Below are 27,212 nucleotides of genomic sequence, written 5' to 3' on the forward strand. Positions count from 1 at the left end.
AAAGAACTTGGAGAGCTGTATTTCTAAATCTATTGCATCTCCATTACTTGGCTGCATTTTCTTTCGCCTTAGGTACCAGATCCTTTACCTTTATTAAAGTCTAATATGCGTATGCTTTGTGGAGTCTCGTGACAAACTGTTGAACTTTGTGTAACCCAGCCAGTCCACATTCACATCTGCTGCCTCTACATAGATACTTTATCTCCTAACTCACTCGCTGTCTTTAACAAGTTTGCAGTAACTTGAGGGAGAGTCTGTTTGTGCTGTTGTAACAAAATACTTGAGACTGGGTAATTTATAAAGAACCGAAATTTATTTCTCAGAGTTGAAGGCTGGGAAATCCAAGATACAGGCACTGGCAGGCTCATTGTCTGGTGAAGGCTTCTCTCTGCTTCCAAGATGGGAGCTTGTGGCTGCATCCTCCAGAAGGGAGCAATGATGTGTCCTTAAATGGCAGAAGGCAGAAGAGCAAGAGAGTTGAATGAAGCCTCTGTTATAGGGGCCTTAATTCCATTCATAAGGGGAGGAGTCCTCATGACCTAATCATCTCTTAAAGAACCCATCTCTTAATACCATCACATTGGCCATTAAGTTTCAACATCTGAATTATGTAGGGGACACAGTCAAGCCATAGCAGATGATCTTGAAAATAAGTCAGTGTTAGGCAATGTAATTGCTAAATTACATATTTTCAGAGGTGAAATGTCAGAGTTAGGAGTATCCAGCTCTAAGTCCAAGAGAGGATTAGAGAAAGGCTTCTCAGTGGTGGTGACGCTTGGATTTCAACTTGAGTGACAAATAGGATGTACCAGTTACAATGAAGGGAATAGCCATTTTAGCTTGAAGGAACAGTCTGTTCAATGATAGAAAGAATTGACCAGGAATGGTGGATTCTGACATTGTTAGAAGATATAGAATGTGTGTGGTGGAAGATTATAGAAAAAAGAAAGAACCAAATGGGAAAAGTCCCTGCATGTAAAATCAGGGAGTTTGGAGGTTTTTCTACTGGAACTTGAGAGTATTAATGTATTTTAAGTAGAGGAGTAAAGTGGTCAGTTTTGAGATTTAAAGACTCTACCCCTACAGCTAGTGTTGTCATGTGTAGCTACAGACATTATACCTTGTACAATTCTAGGGGATACCATTTACCTCTACTGCTGTGTAAATAATGCCCTCTGAAGTTGTGTAACAGGCAGTCCTGCTAGTGGAAGCATGGAAGATAGTTCTAAGAGGTGTTCATGGAGACAGGGAGACTAATGTTAAATGAAAACAAATCCAGACCGAAATAAGTAGGAAGTTTATTTGAAAAGATATGGAGATAGTTCTCTCTCTTGCAATAGAGAGAACTCTGACTATAAGATCTGCAAGTATCTTAAAGGTCAGACAGAAAAAGGCCTTTCTCTTATATGGCAGGGTAAACAAGGCTAGAAAGAACCAGGTTCAGGGAGTAGGACAGAGAATGGTTTTCCTGAGATCAGCTATGATGCTTGGGAGGTGCTTCAGGAGGAACAGTTCTGCTTTATGCTGCTGGATCAGGCTAGAGTCAATGTTCAGGTCCTATGGGGAGGAAACAAGTTTAAGTTTGGCCAAGTCAAGTAAACTAACATTTTGTTTGACCAATGGAGAAAAACAATTTAGCTAATCACTTATGAGGCCAAAAATGGAAATTTGGAGGATCTGTGTCTGGCCTTGTCCTAAGGAAGCAAGGGGCTATTAAGAAGTCTTAATTTACCTAAGTCACATCGGGAGGACTGGATCCTGGCAGTAAGTTTTTTTCCAGGAACACAAAGGTTAGGAAGATATATATTTTTTTAACTGTTGCTGTTTCCTGGGATTACAGGGATTAGATAAAGTTCAAATCTGTCATGACTTAACAGACTGATGTAAATGTCCAGGGAAAAGAGTGGTTAGAAATTAAAATATTTACAGGTATTCCAAACCCAATGTGTTTGTGAGCCACGATGAGTATCAACAAAGTGACATGCTTTTCTGGGGAAGAAAACAGAATTAATGTTGTTTTTCTGGCAAAACTAAATGTCTGCCTCCAACTGTCCCCACAGTAGAGCCCCTTTCTCTGATCTAATACTTACCTTTTACTCATGGATCTTCTGATACTCTACTCCTCACTATCTTATTAGGGTTGTTATAAGTACTAGAAATTACAATGAATGTAAAGCATTAATAGCATTAAAAGAAAAACTTTAGACAAATTAAATTTAACAGAGTTTAACTGAGAGAAGAACAATTTGCGAATCTGACAGCCCCGAGAACCAGACAGGTTCAGAGTGACTCCAGGTCAGCTATGTGGTCGTATAACATCGCTGGACAAAAAGGAAAGCGACACAGAAACTTTAAGTGAGGGACAGAAACAGCTGGACTGGTTACAGCTGGGCGTTTGCCTTATTTGAACTGCTTTGAACAGTTGGCAGCCCTTGGTTGGCTGAGACTCAGATACTTTTTACACAAATAGGTTCCAGTCACCTTACACATCCAATTAAGTCACAGTTCACCATGTATGGAGAAACCTTTAGGCCAAACTTAATTTAACAGTACAGAGCTTGGTATACAGTGAGCTCTCAATAATTGTTACCTGCTTTTGCTTTTTTTTTCATTCTTTTCCTTGCTGTAGCTGAACAAGAAATGTGTTGTCAATAAGTATGCAGACCCAGCACAGGACCTTATTTAATGCATGGATATGGGAAACAGACTGAAACAAGACAAATCTGATAATTAATTACTAGTCAGTTTTTCTAGAAATGTATTATAAATCCATGTATATAAATCAATGTTCCAAATGCCAAGGATAAAAGATGAATTTCTGCCCCACCTCTTCCCCCTACCCACCTTTTCTGCAAGGAGAGGGTCCAGGTATGAAGTATTTCTACCGCTTATCTAATTGGTATGCTGTAACGCATGTAAATTAGAGGTTTATTCCCCAGTCCTTCTTACAATTCATTGTCTGCAAGTTTCTGGGAGATAACTGGGAAACTCTTTCAACACTCTCCATTCTGTTACTTCCAGCAATTACCTGTAATTGTATCTCCAACTAAGACAATTAGTAAATAAATACAAATTCTTTTTTCATGATTTTTGTTGATGCTATTTAAATTCTAAGAAGCTTTATTAATTTTGGCTGCTTATAATAATTTCCTTCTTTCTCCTCCAACCAAAATTGTTAAGTGCTCTGCTCTCAAAAGCTTGCTTGTTAGTCAATGAATTGCATGCAGTAAGTAAGACTAATATTCTGAAGGAAAAAAACAAACTACCTTAGTGAAACCACTGAGACTACAGGGTGGTAGCAATTATATCTTAACAAAGAAAGGACACTGAAATATTTAATAAATATTTATTTACATTCATAATAACTAAATGTATTAGTTTGACATGCATATATTTATCTCTCCATGCATCTGTTGTTGTTTTTTCTTGAAAAGTGATTAAAATAAAACAGAGATATACTTATTTGCTCAAATGCTCTGCCTTCAGACATTGCTATATATGCACAAAAACTCCCAAGTAGTCTTACATGTAAATTTTAAATAGCAATTCTCTCAGCAGTCACAACACATGCAATCATATCCCACCAATTCAAGCCAATAAGATGACGTATATTTAATTTAGACCTTTGCTTGCAAAGTGCAGTTCATGGAAGCAGTAGCTGTATCACTCAGGATCTTGCTAGAAATTTAGAATCTTGGGCTCCACCCTAGAACCCCTGAATCAGAATTTGCACTTTAACAAGAACTCCACATGATGCAAATAAATGCACGTACAATTTGAGAAGCTCTGCTCTAGCCCAGGATGTACATTTCAATCACCTTTTAAAAACGCAATTGCCAAGCTTCTGGGCCAGATTTACTGAATGCAAATCTCTGAAGGTGAGTCCCAGGACTTGGTAAAGATTTTTACAGGTGATGTTCATAAAAAGCCAGGACTGGAGATCTAAGGGAATTCTTTAATGCTGTAACAGAGTGACTTCCTCTGACCCCTAATTTGCTAAACCACTTGTCTGCACTTTAGAAAAGTAGATTTTGACAAAATAAAGAGGATAGATTCTATGTGTTCTCAGAGGCAAAAATTCAAAAATGGAAAATATCTCAGTATACTGGAAGGGTCTCTAAAGTCCATATTTCTATAAACAGTTGCATATTAATAGCCTTTTTGGAAAGGAGAGTTGCTGAGTAGTAAGGAGTCCAAAGTGCTCAGATTTTAATATACCATATATAGAAGATGGGTTAGAGCTGGCTAAGAAAATGTACAGCAAAGTGTCATAAGTGTATTATTATATTGTAATAATATGAAAACTAAAACCTAGAATCCATTTATTTATTCATCATTTTTTATGTATTTATTCTGATAAATATTTTATTTTATTGAATGCATACTAAGTATGTACCTCTGTGGCAGACACTGATATAAGCTGAGCTATAAAAAGTATAAAGATGATGTACAAACACATGCTTTTTAAATTAATTTTTTAAAAAAAATTTTTGAGTACATAGTAGGTTTATATATTTATGGAGTACATGAGATACTTTGATACCAGCAATAAGTAATAATCACATCATGGAAAATGGGGATCTGTCCCCGCAAGCATTTGTTCTTTGTGTTACACACAGTCTAATTATACTCTTTTAGTTATTTTCAAATGTACAATTAAATTATTATTGGCTATAGTCACCCTGTTGTGCTATCAAATACTGTCTTATTTATTCTTTCTAAGTATACATATATTTGTACTCATTAATCATCCCCCACTTCCCCCTTGTAACCTCACTACCCTTTCTAGCCTCTGGTAGCCAACCGTCTATTCTCTATCTCCCTGAGTTCAATTGTTTTGAATTTTAGATCCCACAAATAAGTGTTAACATGTGATATTTATCTTTCTGTGCCTGACTTATTTCACTTAACATAATGAACTACATACGGTTCCATCCACGTTATTGCAAATGAAAGTATCACATTTTTTTATGTCTGCAAAATCCTCCACTGTGTATGTGTACCACATGTAAATTAGAGGTTGTCTGTCTCCATCTGTCTATCGATGAACACTTAGGTTGCTTCAAAATCTTAGCTATTGTAAACAGTGGTGCAACAAACATAAGAATTCAGGTATCTCTTCCATATATTGATTACCTTTCTTTTGGTAGGTACCAGCAGTGGGGTCACTGAATCGTGGTTCTATTTTTAATTTTTGAGGAACCCCCAAACTTCTCCATAGTGGTTGTGATAGCGACAGGAGACAGGAAAATTCCTACGCAGACAGGGATGGATCCCCAGTGAAACCCAACTTTCAAACCAAGGACAGTTTAAAATCTGAAAACCAAGCTGCCAGTTCCAGATAAAGCCCATGACCAGAGGGAGAACTTCCATCCCCATCTTACCCACTCTCTCTCTATTGGTTCCTTCTGAGTGATGGCTTTTAACCAACCAAATGGTGCTTTTTCCAAGACCACCCATCGACCAATCAGCATGCACTCCCCCATTCTGTTTTTCTGTTTGTTTGTTTTTGAGACCAAGTTTTGCTCTTGTTGCCCAGGCTGGAGTGCAATGGCACGATCTCAGCTCACTACAACCTCTGCCTCCCAGATTCAAGTGACTCTCCTGCCTCAGCCTCCAGAGTAGCTGGGATTACAGGCAACCACCACCACACCCGGCTATTTTTTTGTATTTTTAGTAGAGACAAGGTTTCACCATGTTGGCCAGGCTGGTCTCGAACTCCTGACCTCAGGTGACCTACCACCTCAGCCACCCAAAGTGTTGGGATTACAGGCGTGAGCCACTACACCCGGCCTGCACTCCCCCATTCTAAACCTATAAAAATCCTGGACTCAGTTTCACAGATGGCGACCCACTTTCAGGTTCTCTCTCGATGCTGAGAGCTTTCTTTATGTCGCTCAATAAAATTCTCTGCCTTACTCAGTCTCCCATGTCCACATACCTTATTCCTCTTGGTTGCAGGACAAGAACCCAGAACTCGCAGAACTGTGACAGTAAAAGAACTGTAGTGCTCCTGCTCACTGAGCTGCTGGCAGCAGGAGTAAAAGAGCTGTAACACTCCCTCCTGCTGGCTGAACAATGAAAGAGAAGAAGCCGCATGGTTGTACTAATTTAGATTTTCACCAACAGGGTACTAGAGTTCTCTTTTCTCCACACCCTTGCCAGCATTTGTTATTGCTTGAATTTTTGGATAAAAGCCATTTTAACTGGGGTGAGATGACATTTCACTGTAGTTTTGATTTGCATTTCTCTAGCGATCAGTGATGTTGAGCACCTTTTCATATGCCTGTTTGCCATTTGTATATCTTCTTTTTGAGAAATGTCTGTTCAAATCTTTAGCCTGTTTTTTGATCAGATTATTAGATTTTTTCCTATAGAGTTGTTTGAGCTCTTTATATATTCAGGTTATTAATCCCTTGTCAGATGGGTTATTTGCAAATATTTTCCCCCATTCCATGGGACTTCATCTCACTGTGTTGATTATTCCTGTGATGTGCAGAAGCTTTTTAACTTGATGTGATTCCATTTGTTCATTTTTGCTTGGTTTCCTGTACTTGTGGGATATTACTCAAGAAATTTTTGCCCAGGTCAGTGTCCTGGAGAGCTTCCCCAGTGTTATCTTGTAGTAGTTTCACAGTTTGAGGTCTTAGATTTAAGTCTGTAATCTGTTTTGATTTTTGTATATGGTGAGACATAAGGGTAAAGTTCTATTCTTCTTCATACAGATTTCCAGTTTTTCCAGCACCATCTACTGAAGAGACTGCCCTTTCTCCAGTGTATGTTCTTGGCACCTTTGTCAAAAACGAGTTCACTGTAAGTGTATAAATTTGCTTCTGGGTTATCTGTTCTGTTCAGTTGGTCTATGGATCTGTTTTTCTGCCAGTACCATGCTGTTTTGGTTACTATAGCTCTGTAGTGTAATTAGAAGTCAGGTAGTGTGATTCTTCCAGTTTGTTCTTTTTGCTCAGGATAGCTTTGGCTATTCTGAATCTTTTTGCATGCAAATTCTTAGAGCTACATTCAGATCAATGAGATGAGACAGGGCCATTGCTTGAGTAAAGCTATAATTTTACAAAGAAAAACATTGTGGAGAAATAAAGTAGTCCTTATTTTACTTCTCTCTTCTCTGCCATTAAGAATAATACACACGGCTGGTCACAGTGGCTCACACCTGTAATCCCAGCATGTTGGGAGGCCGAGGCGGGCAGATCACGAGGTCAGGAGATCGAGACCATCCTGGCTAACATGGTGAAACCCCGTGTCTACTAAAAATACAAAAAATTAGCCAGGTGTGGTGGCGGGCACCTGTAGACCCAGCTACTTGGGAGGCTGAGGGAGGAGAATGGCATGAATCAGGGAGGCAGAGTTTGTAGTGAGCGGAGATGGCGTCACTGCACTCCAGTCTGGGTGACAGGGTGAGACTCCGTCTCAAAAAAAAAAAAAAAAAGCATAATACACACTAACAGAAAGGGTACATGAAACATTATATACAATGAATTAAAACCCAAAAAGGAAATAAGTTGTTAACAGAACATATAGTTATTGTTAATTAAGTCATGCCTGCAAAAATTACCTGGCAGTGAATGGGAAAAACTTGCAGGTATGTTCCTAGAAATATTATAAACATGGAGAATGTTACCTTCACTTGAAAAGTAGCACTTGCCTTATGGTTTTATCTACCAGTACTTTGCCTTTTTCACTGTACCATGGAATATTCCCTCAATATTGTTTAACTGAATTTTCTTGACAAACTCTTTTGTTACAAACAGCACAAAATATATTCTAACCTAGTTGCATTGAAAACATATTAATTTTAAATTAAAATATATCACTTGTGAGTTCTTACATATATTATTAATTCTGGGTTCTATTCAGTGGTTAGCAGTTTCTACATGTTCAGGAGCACCAGTTTTGTGTAGCTCTTCCCAACTCTGGGTTCAGCAATCCCATTGGTAAAAATTGGTCATAATGGGAGCATGGGAAATTAATGAATGCTACAATTCAGGGTCTTTTTTTTTTTTGAGATATGGTTTATTAACATATCATTGGACATTCCTGATGAATGTATTGGTGAAGATCTATAAAAAATGCAGTGCAGGAAAAATATAAATTCAAGTAAACCTAAAAATTGTTTAATTTTTATAGTCTTTTTCATTACCAGTCTTTTTTTTTTTCTCAGTTGCTATCATTCTGAAAAAGATCTTAATAGTTTTCCTGGATATAATACTGCAGTAACCCCCTTAGTTCTTCTAACTCCATGGACTGTCTATTTCTGAACACTATATAAATTGACTCATTTACTATATATTATTTTATGTGTGGCATCTTTTGTTAAATGTGAAATTTATACTGTTGCATGAAACTGAAATTTATTCATTTTCATTGTTATAAAATATACTCCCTAATATGCTATAATTTATTTTTTATTTACTATTTATAGACATATTAATTATATCCTATTTGAGGATATTATGATTGCACATATATATGCATTTCTATTCAAGATTCCTAAGACTGAAATATCTGGGTCAAAGAATATGTATATGTTCAATTTCATCAAATACTACTGAAAAGTTTTCCAAAGTGGCTGTAAAAATTTATATTCCCATCCGCAATGTATGAGGTTTGAGATACTCCACATTTTCATAAACACTTGACATTGCCAGTCTTTTTAATTGTAGTCATTTTGATGTATGTATAGTGGAGTCTCATTAGGTGTTAATTTGTTTTCCTCCAATGATTAAGGAGGGTAAGTACTTTTTCAATACTCATTGGCTCTTAGGATGTGCTTCTTTTTTGGAATTCCTCTTCAAGTTTTGTTTTTGTTTTGTTTTGCCAAGATTTCACTATTTTTTCTATAGATTTCTAGAAATTCTTTATATATTTTGAAAATGAGCCTTCAGTTGGATGGAAGTATGAAATCATATTCCAATCTGTGGATTTGTCTTTTCACTCTTTTAATGGAATATTTTTATTAACAGAATTATTTCAATTTTATTAACAGAATTATTTCAATTTTATCACAGTTAAATCAATGCTTTTATACTACAAAATCTTAACCTAAACCAAGTTCATAAAAATTATATTTTATGTTATCTTCTAATAGCTTCTGGAAACTTTTTTATCTTTCTTGTTTGGATCTAATTTCATCTGGAATTTACATTTATGTATGAACTAGGAGTCAGGTCAGTTCCTCATCACCTGCCACACATATGTGCATGCGCGTGAGTGCATGCGCACACACACACACATACACACACACACACACACACACACACACACACCCACAGATAACTAGGTGTTCCAGCACTGTTTTTTGAATGGATAATCTTACCCTATAACCCTGAAGTATGTACTTTTTTATAGTTCAAAAGTTTGTACATGTATGGACCTGTTTCTAGTATATCTATTCTAAATCGTTGGTCTATTTGTGTATCCTAACACTAATATCATGACTTAATTAATGTAGTTTATAGTAAGTCTTGATTGATGACATACGGTGTCTTCTCTATGCGCTCATCTTTAACATCGTCTTAGTTATTGCTGGATGCTTAGTTTACATGTATATATTAGAAATAGCTTGCCAATTTACACACATATACCTGAGATTTTGAAAAGATTATATCGAATCTATTATATTGACCATTCTCATCAATGAATACTGTATAATCTCAATTTATTTAGGTCTTCTATAAATCTCTTAAAAATGTTTTAGACTTTTAATATATCCTTAGATTTGGCTTGTTCATGTTTTGTTTAAGATTGTTAAAGCTGTTTGCATGGGAAATACTACCTGTAATTGTCCTTTTGAAATGTATCTGCTAGGTTTTGATATCAAGATTACACAGATCTCACAAAACATCATGGTAAGTATTCCATTCCAATTTTTTCTCTAGAATAATTTTTGCAAGATTAATGTCATGTCTTTAGCTGTTAGAAATCACCAAACTTCTAGTAGAAAACATCTGAGCATGGAGTTTCTTTTGGGGAAGGTTTTGAATAATGTATACAATTTCTTTCATAGATAAAACTAATCTGATTTTCTTTTTTCTGTGGGGAAAGGTAAGTTTGATGAGTTGTATTCTTTATAGGATTTTTCTCCATGCCAACCAAATGTATAGCCATAAAGTTTTCACCTTTTCCTTGTAGTATTGTTTTCAATTTCTAAATTTCTTTTCTTTATTATTTCTCTTATTTTCTTTGGGTTAATATTCTGTTCTTTGTCGAACTACTTGATTCAGATGCTGAGATTATTGATTGTCATTTATAATATATAAACCTAAGTGTATAATTTTCTCTTTGGGCATGTATTTAGCTATATTCCATAAATTTTCATATGTAGTATTTTCATTATTATTTGGTTCAAAATATTTTCTACTTTTCATTATGATTTCTTCATTGACTCATGGGTTATTTAAAAGTGCATTTTAAAATTTCCAAATATAAGAGAATTTTTCAGTTATCTTTTTTATTATTTCTAACATTATTCCACTGTGGTCAGGAAACATATTTAGTGTGATTTGAGCCCTTCTAAATCTGCTGCGACTTGCTTTATAGCCTACAATATTTTTAATTTCAGTAAATATTTTACATACATTTAATAAGAATGAGTGTTCTAGAGCTTTGTATGTGGTTATTATATTGTATGTAGTCAATTAGGTCAAATTTGTTAAGTATTATATTGAAGCATTCTATAGTCTTAGTGACTTTTTTGGTCTTGTTCTTTGTGTTACTGAGAGAAATGTGCTGAAGTTTTCCACTGTAAATGTAGAGCTGTACATGTCTTCTTGTATCAATAATTTATTTTATAAACCTCCTTGACAAAAAATGGTACCTGAAGAAATTAGGTGCTAAAACCAATAGCTTGTAATGCAGATCCTTTACTTTCAATCTTATATCCATAAAATATAATGTTCTACCTATATCTTTATTGATACAATATGATGGACAGAAATGACCAGTTTCCTGCTCCTACTCACTGGAGCCTCACCATTGCATTTAATAGAAACTAATCCAGAGATTCGCAAGCTGGAAGACCCTGGATTCAGGGCCACTGTTGGAGGCTAGCATTGATGTATAGCAGACAAGAGCTCAGATTTTGTTACTCACTCCATGCATAAAATAGCCATGGTACCACCACTGACCCACTGGCCATACATCCTAACTGCAGGTGAAGTATCCAAGTGAAAATAAACTTACTCTGGCTGCCACTACAACACTAAAAATATAAATTGAGAAAAAATATTTATAGTTCTTAGGCATGAGGAAAACCTTGAGTATCAGATTGAATCAACTGATTTCCTCAAAGACAGGGCCTATGCCTTATGGATCATTTTAGCTTTGGCACTGATTTTTCTGTTTGGCTTTGATAATAGTTGATATGCCTATGCCTTATGGATCATTTTAGCTTTGGCACTGATTTTTCTATTTGGCTTTGATAATAGTTGATAAATATTTGTTGAAGGAAACTCTTGGTCCTGCTTGAACAGAGAGAGAAGAACAATAAGTCATGTTTCAGTGAGGCTAGAAATCCATGACAGCACAGATAGGTCTCCAAGGCTTCAGCAGTATCAAAGACAATCACATTTTTCCTGGCAGAATACAAAATCACAAGACAGAAAAGGCTTTTTTTAGCAGGATCACCTGTCCTATGACTATTATCTTCCTATGTCATAGATCATTGGAGGAAAAGCCCTGGAAACTGGATCACCTTGCCTAAGATAAATCTGAGTTTCTTAATGATTCTTTTTTTCTTTCTCCTCCTCTTCTCCTGGTTTCCAAACCTAAAATGGCTTCCCTGCTGATTATCCTCCAAAGGCAGCATCCATTCTCCAGAATCACTAACTAAGTTCCAACGGAACAAGGATATATTTAATTTGGAGCCCCACAGATTAGTCTTCATTGCAGTATATTTGCAGAGATAATTATTTTAAGAGTAATATGCCCTTTAAAAAGCACACTGGTTATGTCTTCAGTTCTTAAGAAGAAAGTTAAGTTTGAACATAAATGAGTTCAGGAATCAAGTCTCAGTGCCCTTATATACTGGGCTAGTTACATGAAACTTGTAAGGCAGGAACTTCCATTAGCTATTAAATATTTGGGGTCTTTCTGACACAATGCAGTATCCCAAGTACACATAAGAGAATTTTGTTGTAGGTTTGTCAAGGCCCAAAGGGTAAGGATCTGTAATGGACACCAGTATACCAATATCTGTAAGTTTAGCTATGATCTCTCAGCAGAAATGATGGGTTGGACATAATACCCTGGCAGAACAAATGAGTAAAGTCAGTTAGGGTGCCAAATCATTTTCATAGACCAAGATAGATGGTATTTATCCTGCCCTTTCAAGGGGCTTCCTGTAATTCTTGGTGTTTGTTTGTTTTTGAGGCAGGGTCTCTCTCTGTTGCCCAGGCTGGAGTTCAGTGGCATAATCTCGGCTCACTGCAACCTCTGCTTCCTTAGTTCAAGCTATTCTCCTGCCTCAGCCTCCTCAGTAGCTGGGACTACAGGCACACGCCACCACACCCAGCTAATTTCCGTATTTTTAGTAGAGATGAGGTTTCACCATGTTGGCCAGGCTGGTCTCTAACTCCAGGCCTCAAGTGATCCACCCACCTTGGCCTCCTGTAGTGCCGGAATTAGAGGCATGAGCCACTGTACCCAGCCACTTCTATTTTTAAGTCATTAGTGGAAATAATTCAAAGAACAGGAATTGCCATAACCTTTCCTGAAGAATTACCTCTTTCGGAGAAACACCAACCACTTCCTTTGATGTATAATTGTCTCATCTGTGTTTGGCTGCTGGCTGCAGCAAAATCTATAAGACCTTATAAAGGAGTTGCATTCCACCCAACAGGTGGTCTTGAATCTGTGCACTCTATGTTCACAGCTTTGAACAAACTTCTAATTGGAAATACCACCAATCAACAGGCGAGATCTGGCTTACCTAGATTAGGGCAACAAGTTACACTCAAAAACTTGCTAAGTTGAAGGTAACTGGTTTCAATATTAATATTCAGGTCCTCTTGCCTCTCTGCTGTGAGTCAAATTCAATACAAAGCCAGTGGATCCCTAGAACTCCACTGATTCCCAAGATTCTCCAGTGCGAATCAGCTTCCTTGCTGTCTTTCACCTACATCCGTTGCATTAACAAGTCCTGTCAAATGTACTTTCCACGTACATCTTGAAGACACCCACTTCTCCATGTTCACTATGTCTGTCTTAACTACCATCTTTTCTCCTCTGGTCTACTTTAATGTCTCCTAACTGACCACTCAGTGTTTACTCCTACCTCCCTGAAGTCATCTCCATACAGTTGCAAGAATAGTCTCTTAACACAAAAATGTGATATTACTGTCAAACCTAAAATCTGTGGTCGTAAACGCCTGTAATCCCAGCACTTTGTGAGGCCAAGGCAGGCGGACCATTTGAGGTCAGAAGTTCGAGACCAGCCTTGCCAATGTGGTGAAACCTGTCTTTACTAAAAATATAAAAATTAGCTAGGCATAGTGCCAGGTGCCTGTAATCCCAGCTACTCGGGGGCTGAGGCAGGAGAATCACATGAACCCATGTGGCAGAGGTTGCAGTGAGCTGAGATCATGCCACTGTACTGACAGAATGAGACAGCATCTCAAAAAAAAAAATACAGTAAAATAAATAAATAAATAAATCCATTAATGACTTCTTTCATTTTACTCCAATCTCATTATTATCGTCTACCTATTTTCCTATTTTGAAGTTAATTTCGTGAGGGCAGAGACTGTAACTTTCTTGTATGCCACCGAATTCTAAAACCTAGAATTAAATAATGGGCCAATCAAACTGCAAGCCAGCTTTCTATCGCAGCAGACTCACCACAGGGTCACTGTACTAGATTCAGAGCCCAATTCAGGGAATTCCTTTCCAGATAATACCCTGAGGACTGGGTCCTGGAGGTCTTTGAGAAGACTGATGGTATTGTCCCTGCTCCACTTTTGCAGCACAAGAGGCAATGGGAGTATTACTGAATGCAGTGTCCATAGGGAGTTCCTGGCCAGAGCCAGGAACAGAAACTGAAAATGAGTTACCCAACCAAGCAGGAATAGAGAAAGAATAGAAAGATAAGGAGGCAATTAAAATAAAGAATAAAAGCAACCTGGGAAAAGATCTTTAGAATCAGATGCTGAAGAACTGGGACTTTAAAAATTTCTGATCCTAAGAGTAGATAGAGTGATAAACTTTAATACTCATGACTTGACCCTTCTGGAAGTAAGTAGTGTCAGAAGCAGAGGGTCCACACGTTTCAAACCCTCACCACCATGTTAAATGCACACAATTCACTTCAAAATGTACCTGTTCACTCACTCACTTATTCATCCATTCATTTATAACATTTTTTGAGAATTTGTGAATATTCTTTGGAAACATTAAAATACACTAAAATGCAATTTACTTCAAAGCCTCTGGCTGTTCATCTGTAACAAGACAGATTGACCTTCTCACTTCTCATACTCTTCCTTCTTTTGCTCATCACTCAAGATTCAGTCCAAGTCCTTCTTTCATCTAGAGTTTTTCAAGTTCCCTGCTGGTTTCCCTTTATCTGAGCTCCATTAGCATATACGATTGCCTCACATCTTTTAAAATGTGAAGAGTGGCTATCTGTATTATTTCTTAAAGACTGGCACATTTTATTATGTCTGGTGTGTTTCTCACATTGAACTTAGCTCAGACATGCATACTTAGTGCGTGATAAATGCTTGGTACATATTTCAAACATATTGGCTGGTTCCCGTGGGGTCATTGTTCCCAGATTAGAATTCTAGTTGAGTTATTCCTCTTATTCTCTAGTTAATTTGTATATATGAAGAGATCTTTCTCAGCAGTTATAGACTTATTGCATTTGTCTGCCAGCCAGAACCCATTCTTGTGCTCCCCCAAATGGGTCCTATAATATCACTTTGGCACACTTATCCCTGCTGGTGGATTTCTATTTATACCATTTGGGTTATTGGCTGCCTTGTGTCCTTTAATGCAACCAATATAGGAATTCTGAAACTTTAAAAGTAAATACATCTTAAATATATATACCCAAACACATATTCATTTAAAGAATACTAATAAAATAGCATTTTTCAAGATTATTGTACTTTTTAATTTTTTTAAATACATGGAAATTATAAATGTTTGACAGAGAAAAGAAAATCCTTATAATCCCAACTTCACAATAAACTTCACATTTTGTAAATATGTTGGCATTTTTGTACATTTCTGTCCAAATGCACACAATCTGGACAATTCACTTTGGAGCCTGCATTTTTCTTCTTCTGCTTCATATAGAAATCAGTTATCATATGCTTATCAGTTACCTCATATTCTTTATGTTATCCTCTTTGTTTTGAACCTGTCAACTTCCCCTGAGAAGATTAAATGAAATAAAAAGAAGGTATGGTGTACTAAATATTATATTAGAAATATTATTTTTTCTGTATTGTATATCCTTGAAAGAAGTATTTTTAATATTTCTTTGGTATTTTATACATTATTTGTGTAATTTAACTGTTACTAATATTGTAGCCACCAATTCATGGGTGGAGGCGGCAATGCAAACACTAGTTTCTTTTACTTCGGCTTATGTAACTGGTCTCCCTCCCCTAGATGTCTGTTGTCAGATCACACATACACAAACACCTGCAGGATGTGGCTCTGTGGGGGGTGGTCAGAAAAGGCATATCAATCTCAGGATGTGAAAGGGCGGGAGGACAGACAAGGCAGGATGAAAGCAACTCTCAAGTGGAGTCTTCTTCAGGTTCAATTGCTTTTATAGCTTTCCTCTTGCTCTTTGTGCAGAGTTGGAAATGTGATATTTTAAAGTTAGTTTTTATAGAAACAAATGTCAAGACAGGTGAGTCATCCTGATATCTCTAAAAATAAACTCAGGTTGTCAAAGAAATCAAAACTTTGCCTTCACGCTTAGCCAGCAAGAGAACAAGAGTCTTCCCACCCATGGGCTGTGGAGCTGCTTGAAGTAATCCCAGATTTTGAGGGCAGTATGGGGTTGGAATGAATGAAACTGTGAAGCAAAAAGAACTTTGGATTTTGGCTATATTCAACTCAAAAACGTCCTGTAGGAAAGAAGGAGAAAAATTATTTGACTATTTCAACTGAGGCCCGAGATAGGAATCCTAAGGGAATACTATCTGTAGTGGCCAAGGGAAAGCTTCTCTTTCACTCTGAAGGTTCATGGAAAGTGAACTGACAACAGACAGGTTAATAGGAGAAAAAAGGCATACCAAATTTAAGGTACATAGCATGGAGGGAATTTCAGTAGAATGGCTACCCAATAACTCAAATGAGTTCCAGATGTTTATATACCCTTTTTTTGTAGAGGGGTGGGGGATGGGGATGTAGGAAATTAATGAGCCCAAAGAATAATGGCCTGGGACAAAGTTCTTCTGTGCTCTGGGGGAGGTGGAAGAAAGGTGGCGGGGGCAGGGGCAGTGCATAACTTTACTGTGAACAAAAATTATCTTATTATGCAGATAAATCCTCCCTGGTAATCTTGCAGAGATTAGAATAGTCTCTGAGAAGAATCTCTCAGAAGAATAGATAAAAAGCCTATCTAGGCAAGGTGACAACTCTTGGAGAACTTCTGTTCTCCAGTTCTCCAGTGGTTAATCTTTCCCGGTTATTGAATGAGATCTTAGGGAGGGGGTCCTAAGCCAATTGTATTTCTTTTGGAAAGGAACTTTCTCAGATAAAGAAATTCCAGGTAGATTTCCTCTCAGTGCTTCAAGAAAGAGAATCAGAGAGACAGGGAGGCAGGGAAATGTTGGCGAGAGAGCTTGAGGCTGCTTCTTCAGTTCAGCATGTCAAAGCATTATATTTGGGGCTGTCGTTTTCTGAACCCCAAGATTTCCATTGTGCAGATTTTAAATGTAGCTTTGTCAGCAGCCCAGAGAGTTAACATGTGATAATGAGCATCAATAGTGATCTGAGTTCTGAGGGAGAAAAAAATGCCAAAGCCCTCAGTAGGATATTTAGGATCTCAAGCTATGCTCAATATGTGCCCTAATGTAGACATAATGTGAAGATCAAAAGGAAATAAAAATTGAATTCTAACTTTAGAGATAGTAAAACCATCTAATATAATGTGGCGGTGCCCCCACCCAAATCTCATCTTAAATTGTAGCTCCCATAATTCCCTTGTGTTGTTGGAGGGACCCAGTGGGAGATAAATGAATCATGGGGGAAGTTTCCTCCATACTGTGCTCCTGTTAGTTACTAAGTCTTACGAGATCTGATGAGTTTTAAGGGGAAACCCCTTTCACTTGGCTCTCATTTCTCTTCTTTGCTGGCCGCCATGTAATATGCGCTTTTCACTTTCCGCCATGACTGTGAAGCCTCCCCAGCCATGTGGAACTGTGAGTCAATTAAACCTCTTTCCTTTATAAATTACCCAGTCTCTGGTATATCTTTATTAGCAGCGTGAGAACAGACTAATACACCATCCTATGTTTGTTTTCTTCTCACTTTCCTCCTCCATGGCCCTCTCTCGCATTTCAACAGTCACCCTGATGGCCAGTACCCTTTGGCTGCCCTGCCTTGGCCTGCCCACTCAGTGACTGCATACTTCCTCCTGCCTGCCTGAGAATCCCAACTGGTCAAGTTTTGGTTTTGTTTTTTGTTATAACTGAGCTCCTCCATACCCTGTACTCAAGACTGATGATACAATGGTGAACAAGACAAAGTCCCTGCCTTCACAAAACTTACAGTGAAAAATGACCCCCTCTCTCTCTCTGTCTCTCTCTCTCTATATATATATGTGTATATATATAAAATATAGATACTATAGTATTTCATATATTATTTCGACTATATTATTTTTATATATTATAGATTTTATATATAGTATATAGAATTTCATATATTATGAAGAAAAAGTAATATATGAAATTCTAACATATATGTAAAATACAGTAGAATTCTACTATATATAGAATTCTATATATATAGTAGAATTCTCTATATAGTAGAATTTCATAAATGAAGAAAATATAGGGTAGAAGAAAGAGTGTGTGAGGGTACAGAGGTCTCAGAGATATTCTTTCTTCCATTTATACATGTCACACTTACATGTGGTATATATTCAGAAGTACAAAGAGGTATACAGTTTAAAAGAAGCCCGTGTGTGCAACCCTGGCATTCCAGCCACCCAGTATATCCCTAGGAGGCAACCACAGTTAGTGGTTTTTCAGATATCCTTCCAAAGATATTCTACGCATATTCAAGCATAAATTAACTTATATGCTCATGCATATAAAACATTTTATTATGAAAACTTTCAAATATGTGGTAATGTTGAATGCATTTTACAGTAAACATCCATATACTCACCACTTCGATTCTACCACTAACATTTAATAGTACTTGTTTTAGCATTTATCTATCTATTTATCCACCTGTCTTGGACCATTTTGTGCTGCTGTAACAGAATACTTGAGACTGGGTAATTTATAAAGAGAAGAGGTTTATTTGGCTCTGGTTCTGCAGGTTGGAAAGTTCGGAGGCATGGCACTAGCTTCTGGAGAGGGCTTCTATGGTGCATCAGAACATGGCAGAGAAGTTCGAAAGGAAAGTGACACATGTAAAGAGACAAAATCCCAGGAGTGTCTTGGCTTTTTAACAACCAACTCTCCGGGGAAACATTCCCTCAAGAACTAATCCAGTCTCATGAGAGTGAGAACTCACTACCAAGCCATTCGTGAGGGATCTGCCCCATGACCCAAACACCTCCCACTAGATGCCACCTTCTAATATGACCACATTGGGGATGTAATTTCAACATGAGTTTTGGTGGGGACAAACTATATCCAAGCCATAGCACTATTTCTTTAATCATCTCTCTTTTTTAATGCATTTCAAAGTAAATTGCAGACATTACTATACAGCCCTCTAAATACTTTGGTATGTATACCATTAATTAGAGCTCAGTATCTGTTTACATTCTCTTTTGATATAAACTTGAAATACAAAAGTTTTAAATGTCTTTCAATCCATGACCATGATATGGCTCTACATTTGTTTGTGTCTTTTAAAATTTCTCTCAAAAATGTTTTGCAACTTTTCATGCATTTTGTTAAATTTACTTGTGTGTTTTACGTTTTCTGACGCTACTCATACAGCATCATGCTTAATGGTGTAAGACTAAAAACGTTTCCACTAAAATTAGGAATAAGATACAGATGCCTGCTTTTGCCACTTCTATGTAACCTAATATTGAAAGTTCTAACCACAGCAATTAGGCAAGAAAAATAAACAAAATTCACCCAAATTGGAAAGAAAGAAGGGAAGTTATCTACATTCACAGAGAACAAAATCCTACATGTAGTCAACCTTAAATATTTGACATAGACACAAAAACAGTTAGCAAAACTGTTAGAAATAATGCATGAATTTAGGAAAGTTCAGGATGCAAACTCAACACACAAAAATTAGTTTTATTTCTATACACAGACAATGAACAATCCAAAAAGAAAATTAAGAAAACAATTACATTTACACTAGCATCAAAAAGAATAAAATAGGAATAAACTTAACTAAGGGGGCACCAGGGTTATACGCCAAAAACTACAAAATACTGCTGAAAGAAATTAAAGACATAAATAAATGGAAAGGTATCTCATGTTCATATATTGGAAGACTTAATATTGTTAAGCTGTCAATACTACCCAAGGAGATCCACAAATTCAAAGTAATCCCTATCAAAATTCCAACAATGTTTTTGGCATAAGTAGATAAACTTATCCTCAAAGTCATATGTGATCTCAAGGGATCCCAAATAGCTAAAACAATATTGAGAAAGAAGAAAGTCAGAGGGCTCACACTTTCTGATATCTGTATCTACTATGTGGGCACCAAGGCCCTTGTTCCACTAAAGGTTCACTGAAAATCGCTGACATGAAACAGATTGATTAGTAGGAGAAAAGGCATACAGATTTATTTAATGTGCATACACAGGTGTCTTCAGAATGAAGACATAAAGATACAGGGGAAATTGTTCATTGTTATGCTTACATTCAACAAAGTATGGACAGCCATGTAGAACTATGATTGGACAAAAAGTCCATGATTTAATGTGAATAGACTGAGTGGGGAAATCCAGCAAAGCCTGTCCATCTAGATTCTTTTGGCCTCTGTGAGCATGTATGTCTTCCTTCTGGGTGTGAGGGCAGAGTCCTCTCTGGAATGGGGGTCTTAAGATCTACATTCAAACAAGGCAGGTCAAATAATTTCTTTATGGTCAATTTTTACATGGAATATGTTTAGGTTTTATGGCTGCTTTTCAGGAAAAGGGGTTCTGGTTTCTACAACCCAGCTTGAAAAAGAGGGGTTCTAGTTTCTATGGCCAGCCTTGGGGGAGGATGGGACTGAGAGGAGGGTAGGGGTAGGTCAGATAAAAATCTTTTGTTTCTGAGGCTACTGCTGAGGCCTTCATTTTGGGATAGTGTTTTTGAACTCCAACAACTACAAAGCTACAGTAATTAAAGTAGTGATACTGGCATAAGTATTGACATATAAGCAAATGGAATAAAATAGGAAGCCCAAAAATAAATCCTTGCACATATAATCAAATAGTTTTCAATGACGATGCCAAGATCATTTAATGGGGGTAAAGCAGTCTTTTCAAAAAGTGGTTCTGGGAAAACTGGGTATTGAAAATCGTGTGAAAAAATGAATTTGGACCCTTATCTTTCATGATACATAAACATTAACTCAAAATGAATTTAATACCTAAATGTAAGAGCTAAAACTGCAAAACTCTTAGATGAAAACCTAGGAGAAAGGCTTCGTGACATTAGATTTGGCAATGATTTGGTGGATGTAACACTAAAAGCATAGGCAACGACAAAAAATGATTACATAGGACTACACGAAAATTTATAACTTCTGTGCATCAAACGACAAAACCAACAGAGTGAAAAGGCAACCATGGAATGGGAGAAAATGTTTGCAAATTACGTATTTGACAAATAATTAATATGTAGAATATATTTTCTAAAAGTCTTACAATTCAGCAACAAAAGCAACTCAATTTTTTAATGGGTAGATAATTTGAGTAGACATTTCTTCAAAAGAGATATACAAATGGCCAATAAATACATGAAAAGATGTCCAGTATTGCTAGCCATTAGAAAAATGCAAATGAAAACCACTTCACATCCATTAGGATAGCTATTATCAAAAACAAACCAACCAACAAACATAAAACCAGAATAGCATGTGTTAATAAGGATGTAGAGAAATTGGGGTTCAGAGAGCCTCCACTCCTCAGCATGAACAGTACAGTATAGGTTGAACACTAGAAGTAAAGTACAGGAATAATTTGATTGATTGGTTACAGCTAGCTGTTTGCCTCATTTGGACATGTTCTGAACAGTTGGCTGCCTGTAACTAGCTGAAGCTGTTTGTGAATGTCTAAGACCCTGCTATCCATTACACAAAATAAACTCTGAAGTTAGGTTTCAGTTTGTTCATGTACTGAGTTAGGTTGTAGTTCATGACCTCCTGCTTACTTAGTTTAATGTGGTTGAGAATCTTGGGTGCTGTCTCATGTAGATAGGTACTGGTTAATTCAGGGACTGTGAAACAAGCATTTTAAAAATGATTGAATATATTTCTCACCGTTGCTGTGAGGTGACGTAGAACACATGGAAGGTTCTTGGGACAAACATACTGAAAATAGAACTCTGTATCTTTGGCTTCAGACATTACACGGATCACAGAGTGGTCAGAAATAGGATAAGCTATTTTGAATTTAAGAGATACCCTAAGTAACAGGTAAAAACAATTTTTTGACTTTTCTGAAAATCAGCCTGGTTGTTTTTCTTTTAATTCATTCTTTAAATAATTACTCAGAAATAAGATTTAAATGGCAAAAATGGATACTCATGTATCTTTCTGAAATAGATTTAATTTATATAATTTTTCTACTAAGATGTCCAAAGTACTTTATAACATTATCAAAATGTTTCATCAAATGCCATTTTGCAGAGAATAGGGACATCTTTCAGTGGGAAATAGATAACGGAGAGGTAAAATAATGTCTACCAGATTACAAAACAAATTAGAACTGGAGACCTGAAAGGAAAAAAGAAACGTTATCACATTCTCAAATTGAACATGCTTTATGCCATTTAAGTAGTGCTGAATAGCTCTTTTTGCTGCAAATCATTCTTTATTCCTGTTTTTTATTCTACCTGAAATTCTGCCAATTAGAGATTCATTTTCAATAACAATTCAGTATGAAATAGGAAATAACTCTGGGACTCTGAGGCTATACATTGTTCACACATTTGTATGATTTAGTTGAATCATATTTCTCTCTCTTTTGCTTTAACTGAACTGAACTGTATTGAAGAAAGTGATAGAGGTTGATGAAAGGGGAGTAGAGAGGAGAGAGATAATTGGAAAAGACTAGGATATTTATAATGATATTATCTGGCTACCCTACTCTAAGGCAGTGGTATGCATCCTGGTTGCATATTAAAACTGCCTAGGGAACTATTTTAATAGGAAACAAAACAAACTCAAACAAGCAAGCAAAGATCAATGCCTGAGCTCCTCATCCCCTAAGGACAATTATATCTGAATCTTTGTCAGGGGCAGGGTGTTTAATTTTTTCTTTTGAAGGCTCACAAGGTGATTTTAATTGAACAACTGAGACTGAGAACTACTCTCTCAATCCTGATGCCCCGGTCATACCTCATACCAATTAAAGTAGAATAGCTGGAACGAGGGAGCTAGGCATCGGTATTTTTTAAAAGATCCCCAGATAATTCTAATGTGCAGGAATGTTTAGGAACCACTGCTCTTGAACTTACATCAGGATAATCTAGAAGGCTTATTAAAACACAGATTGCTAGGCTCCACCCCCAGAGTTTCTGATTCTGCTGGCAGGGTGATTTGCATTTCTAACAAGTTCCCAGGTGAAGCTGATAATACAAGTGTGGGAACCATTCCATAGGATCACTTTGCAAAACTCCTTAGCCTTAGGTGCTAAAATTAAAGTTATGCATACCCTACCTAGCAATTTATGTGCTCAGTAAATTTATTACAGAATTCATGTTTTAATGCAACAGGAGACATGGATAAGAATGTTTCTTAGCAGTATTATTTTTAATGACCCCAACCGGGAAACAATCCAAATATCTACCAGCAATAGAATAAAAACAATTTGTTCAGACAATAAAATGACATATAGCAATAACAATGAATAAATACACCTATATACACAGTATGGATGATTCTATATTTTATTTTATTTTAGTTATTTTTGAGAAAGAGCCTGGCTCTGTTGACCAGGCTGGAGTGCAGTGGCACCATCTCGGCTCACTGCAACCTCTACCTCCCAGGTTCAAGCGATTCTCCTGCCTCAGCCTTCCGAGTAGCTGGGATTATAGGCGTGCACCACCACACCCAGCTAGTTTTTTGTATTTTTAGTGGAGACAGGATTTCACCATGTTGGTCAGGCGGGTCTCGAATGCCTGACCTCATGGGATCCACCTGCCTCGGCCTCCCAAAGTGCAGGGATTACAGGCGTGAGTCACCGCACCCAGCCTACACAGTATGGATGATTATTTAAAACGTAATATGGAACAGAAAAAGCCAGACACATACACAAAACACATACAATATGATTTCACTTATATAAATTTTAAGTAAAATGAGCAAGACTAAACCATATTGGTTAGGAATTCATACTTCGGGGTAAGTCTAGTTTAAAAATTAAGTAAATTCCCTTAATATGAGTAGTGGTTTCCTTTCAGGGATGAGAAAATATTGCTATTGGGAAATGCCTCACAGGGTCATTGGGGTAATAAGAGTATTCCATCTCTTTACCCAGGAGGTTGTTATATAGATGTTTTCTTTACAATAATTAAAATAGACTTGTTTTACATATGTTTTTATATATCTATAATATTTCACCATAAAATAATCAAACGTAAAACAATAAAATTAGTAAGGCCAAGTAACTAGAAGATATTACAGAGAATCAAACACTAACTTCAAAGCTGACACCGGATGAATCTCAAGTTGTCTATATTAAGGGAAATGTAATGTTTGAAGTCAATTCTATGAAGTAAATGGGGAACATTTTAATTATTTTGTTTGGAAAACTAGAGAAAAACTATTTTCAATTTTGATCTTTTGTGAGAAAATGGTGATAACTAGGGCCTTGTTTGTGAGGTATACTGGTTTGTACATATTGTTCCAGTATAATTATTAATAGTGTCCTCTCATTGTCAGAGTGTTCTCATTTAGACAATGAGTTGTAAGTTTTATTGGAAAAAAAATTTTTTCAATGATGAATTTTAGTCTGTACAATAATTTCCAACTGAGTGAATGCAGAATGGCTTCTTCATATGTTTATGGTTTTGAAAAAATATTATGCATTTCCAAAGCCATAGCATTTCATTTGTATTACAAACTTCTTTTCCTTTCTCTTGATCTAAAAGATTTTGCCTAATGTAATGGTTCTGCTAAAATTAATCACTTTGCATGCTTATACTCACCCTGTCAAAAAATAAGCTGATTTCTTAAGAACAATGAACAAACGACATAAATTTATGCCCAGACCCCAAAACAATAATTAATAGGCTACAGCCAATGCCCCATGCTTTTAAATCTAAGTGTCATTTGCAGAAGTAATTCTCATCATCATTGAAAATTGACATCATGCAAGAGAACTGCAAGGAGACTAGAAGGGGTTAAGAAGCGAGATGAGATGTCAACGCACAAAAAGAAATAAAAATCGGTGTTAAGTTTCTTCTAACTTAAACTTTCTAAGTAAAATCTCCAAGTACAACATTGGGAACATCAAAGTGTTCCCACATAGTCACCTCCCCCTCTTTTCCAACCCACTCTTGAAAAGGAAAAAGCTAAAGCCTTCAGATCAGATTGAAATAACTCAGCAAAATTTATTAGTACTCACCTAATTCTTAGGCCCTCAGGATAAACTCCTATTGACGTCAGCGGGAGCTTTCTCTTGCAGACAGTTGTGAATTCATCCCAATAGGTTTCATCTGGGTTATTTAGAGCCCTGCAATTTTAGGATGGAGCTTCAAAGACCTGACCTACCACTGCTGAGAAATTGGCATTGAGAACCTGAACCCTCAGATGCGATGACTCCCTCCTGGTGGTGAAAGATGCTGCTTGAATTTTGTTATCTGTAACGGGGAAATAGTAAGAAAGTTTGCTTGACTCTAGAGGCTGCTCATTTGTGGCCATTGTCCAGTTAAGATTGTGAGCACTGGCCAATAGAAATGATGTTTTTGATTAAAGTGCCAAGAGTCAATTTATGCACATACAAGCTGTGTTTGCATGTACAGACTGATTTGAGGAGGGAGAGTGAGTTAACTTGAGACAGACATTTTTTTTTTTTTTTTTTTTTTTTTGAGACAGAGTCTTGCCCTGTCTCCCAGGCTGGAGTGCAGTGGTGCAATCTTGGCTCACTGCAACCCCTACCTCCTCAGCCTCCCAACTAGCTGGGATTATAGGCACGTGCCACCACACCCGGCTAATTTTTATATTTTTAGTAGAGGCGGGGGTTGCACCATGTTGGCCAGGATGGTCTTGAACTCCTGAGCCCAGATGATCCACCTACCTTGGCCTCCCAAAGTGCTGGGATTACAGGCATGAGCCACTTGCGCTTGGCCCAGACAGACCTTTTTATAAAATAATATATCAGCCCAGGATCAAGTGGTAAGGAAGAAAAGCCTGTTTAAGCTAGCTTAAGTTAAGGAGAATTTATTTTAGGCTAAAGCAACCTCACCAGCATTTAAGGATGAGAAATGAAATAAAGCCAAGCCACATGGGGACAGACACTAGGACAGAAAAATCAGTTATAAGATTATTCTTTCTGTGCTTCTAAAGCATGAGGTATCCTCCTCACCTTGCCCCCTTCTTTTTTCTCTTGTTTGGCTTCACATGGTTCCACATTCCTCTACTTGCCCTGATATTTTCCTTTTCAATTCAATTGTCCACTATCATCTAACAAATAGTCCCTGTGCCCTCAAGGGCAACTTCTCAAGAGAAAGAATCGATTAGTTCAACCCAGTCTACCCACTGTTGCTTCTTATGTTGGCATTCAACCCAAGCTGACTCAGCTAGTGGTGAGGAGTTGCTTCCTACAGAGGGGCTGTGAATGGGGTACATTCTCAGAAAGGCAGAATAGATTGGGTGGGTTATCCCAAAATGTCCACTATAATAAATTAATACAAATTATTTAAATGTGCTATACCCTGGATGGAGCCGTGTATAGATGCCCAAAGTGCTGGCCCTTCTTTCCTTGTCTTCCAGGTCAATATGAAATTTAGGAAAGTGATAACCCACAAATGACAATTGTTATTTCAAATGACAATGTGAAAGATTCAGTTAGAGTCTTCAGTGTCCTGCAGTGCAAATATATTCACACACACACACACACACACACACACACACACCCACACACACACAAATGAATGATGTTTTCAAAGTCCAAGGCTTTCTTTCCTCAAAAGGCCTCTTGCCATTCTCTTAATGAAGACTCATGCATTTCTAACACGTTTCTGTTTAATATTCACCCTCTACATCTAAAGTGAAGAGTTGTTTTTAATATTACTTTAATAATAAAAATATAGTTTAATTTTCCTAGCAAATGCCAAGATTTTCAAAAGATGATACACTTAGGTGCTCCTGAGCCTCTCAGAATAAATTTTAGGAACCAATGGAGTAAAATCTTAATCAAGCTTTTGTTGTCCTAATTTTCTATTGTTTTGATCTCATATTTTAGCTAATTTGTTCCCTAAAGTTAGACAATTTGGTGTATTTTCTCTTAAAAGGAAAATAAGTATTGGTTATTTGTTTCAATCCCTTCAAAGTGAGTTTTTGCAAAAGTTACATATTGCAATCTACTATTCCTGCTAGAAGATTACAAAGGGCATATCTGACCCATCTCCAGGAATAATAAACTACTTTTTATGTGACATATTTTTTGGTGTTAATATGAAGAATCTGAAAGCTTGGGGTGCTTTTATCAATATCTTAATGTACACAATTCCCTTTTAAGTTTTTTAGATTTTTCAAGTTTTAATTATCATCATCTAGGGGTGGTAATGAAACTTATTATAGACATTTATTTATTTGCTGTTAACCAGCTTGACTTATGCCTCAAAACTTATGATCTGGGATGAGGG

The 27,212-nt window shown here is 36.9% G+C and overlaps 1 long non-coding RNA gene across 1 annotated transcript; it reads right to left on the bottom strand.

Annotated features, from left to right (window-relative positions):
• Positions 1–291: 291 nt before the first annotated feature.
• LOC124902744 (uncharacterized) lies at positions 292–25,193 on the bottom strand. Its single transcript, XR_007062874.1, has 2 exons — positions 24,971–25,193; positions 292–445 (listed from the first exon to the last, which is right to left on the bottom strand). It is a non-coding gene; the product is annotated as an uncharacterized LOC124902744 (long non-coding RNA).
• Positions 25,194–27,212: the final 2,019 nt, after the last annotated feature.

Source organism: Homo sapiens, chromosome 11 (genome assembly GCF_000001405.40).
Source record: "Homo sapiens chromosome 11, GRCh38.p14 Primary Assembly".
Taxonomy (NCBI): domain Eukaryota; kingdom Metazoa; phylum Chordata; class Mammalia; order Primates; family Hominidae; genus Homo; species Homo sapiens.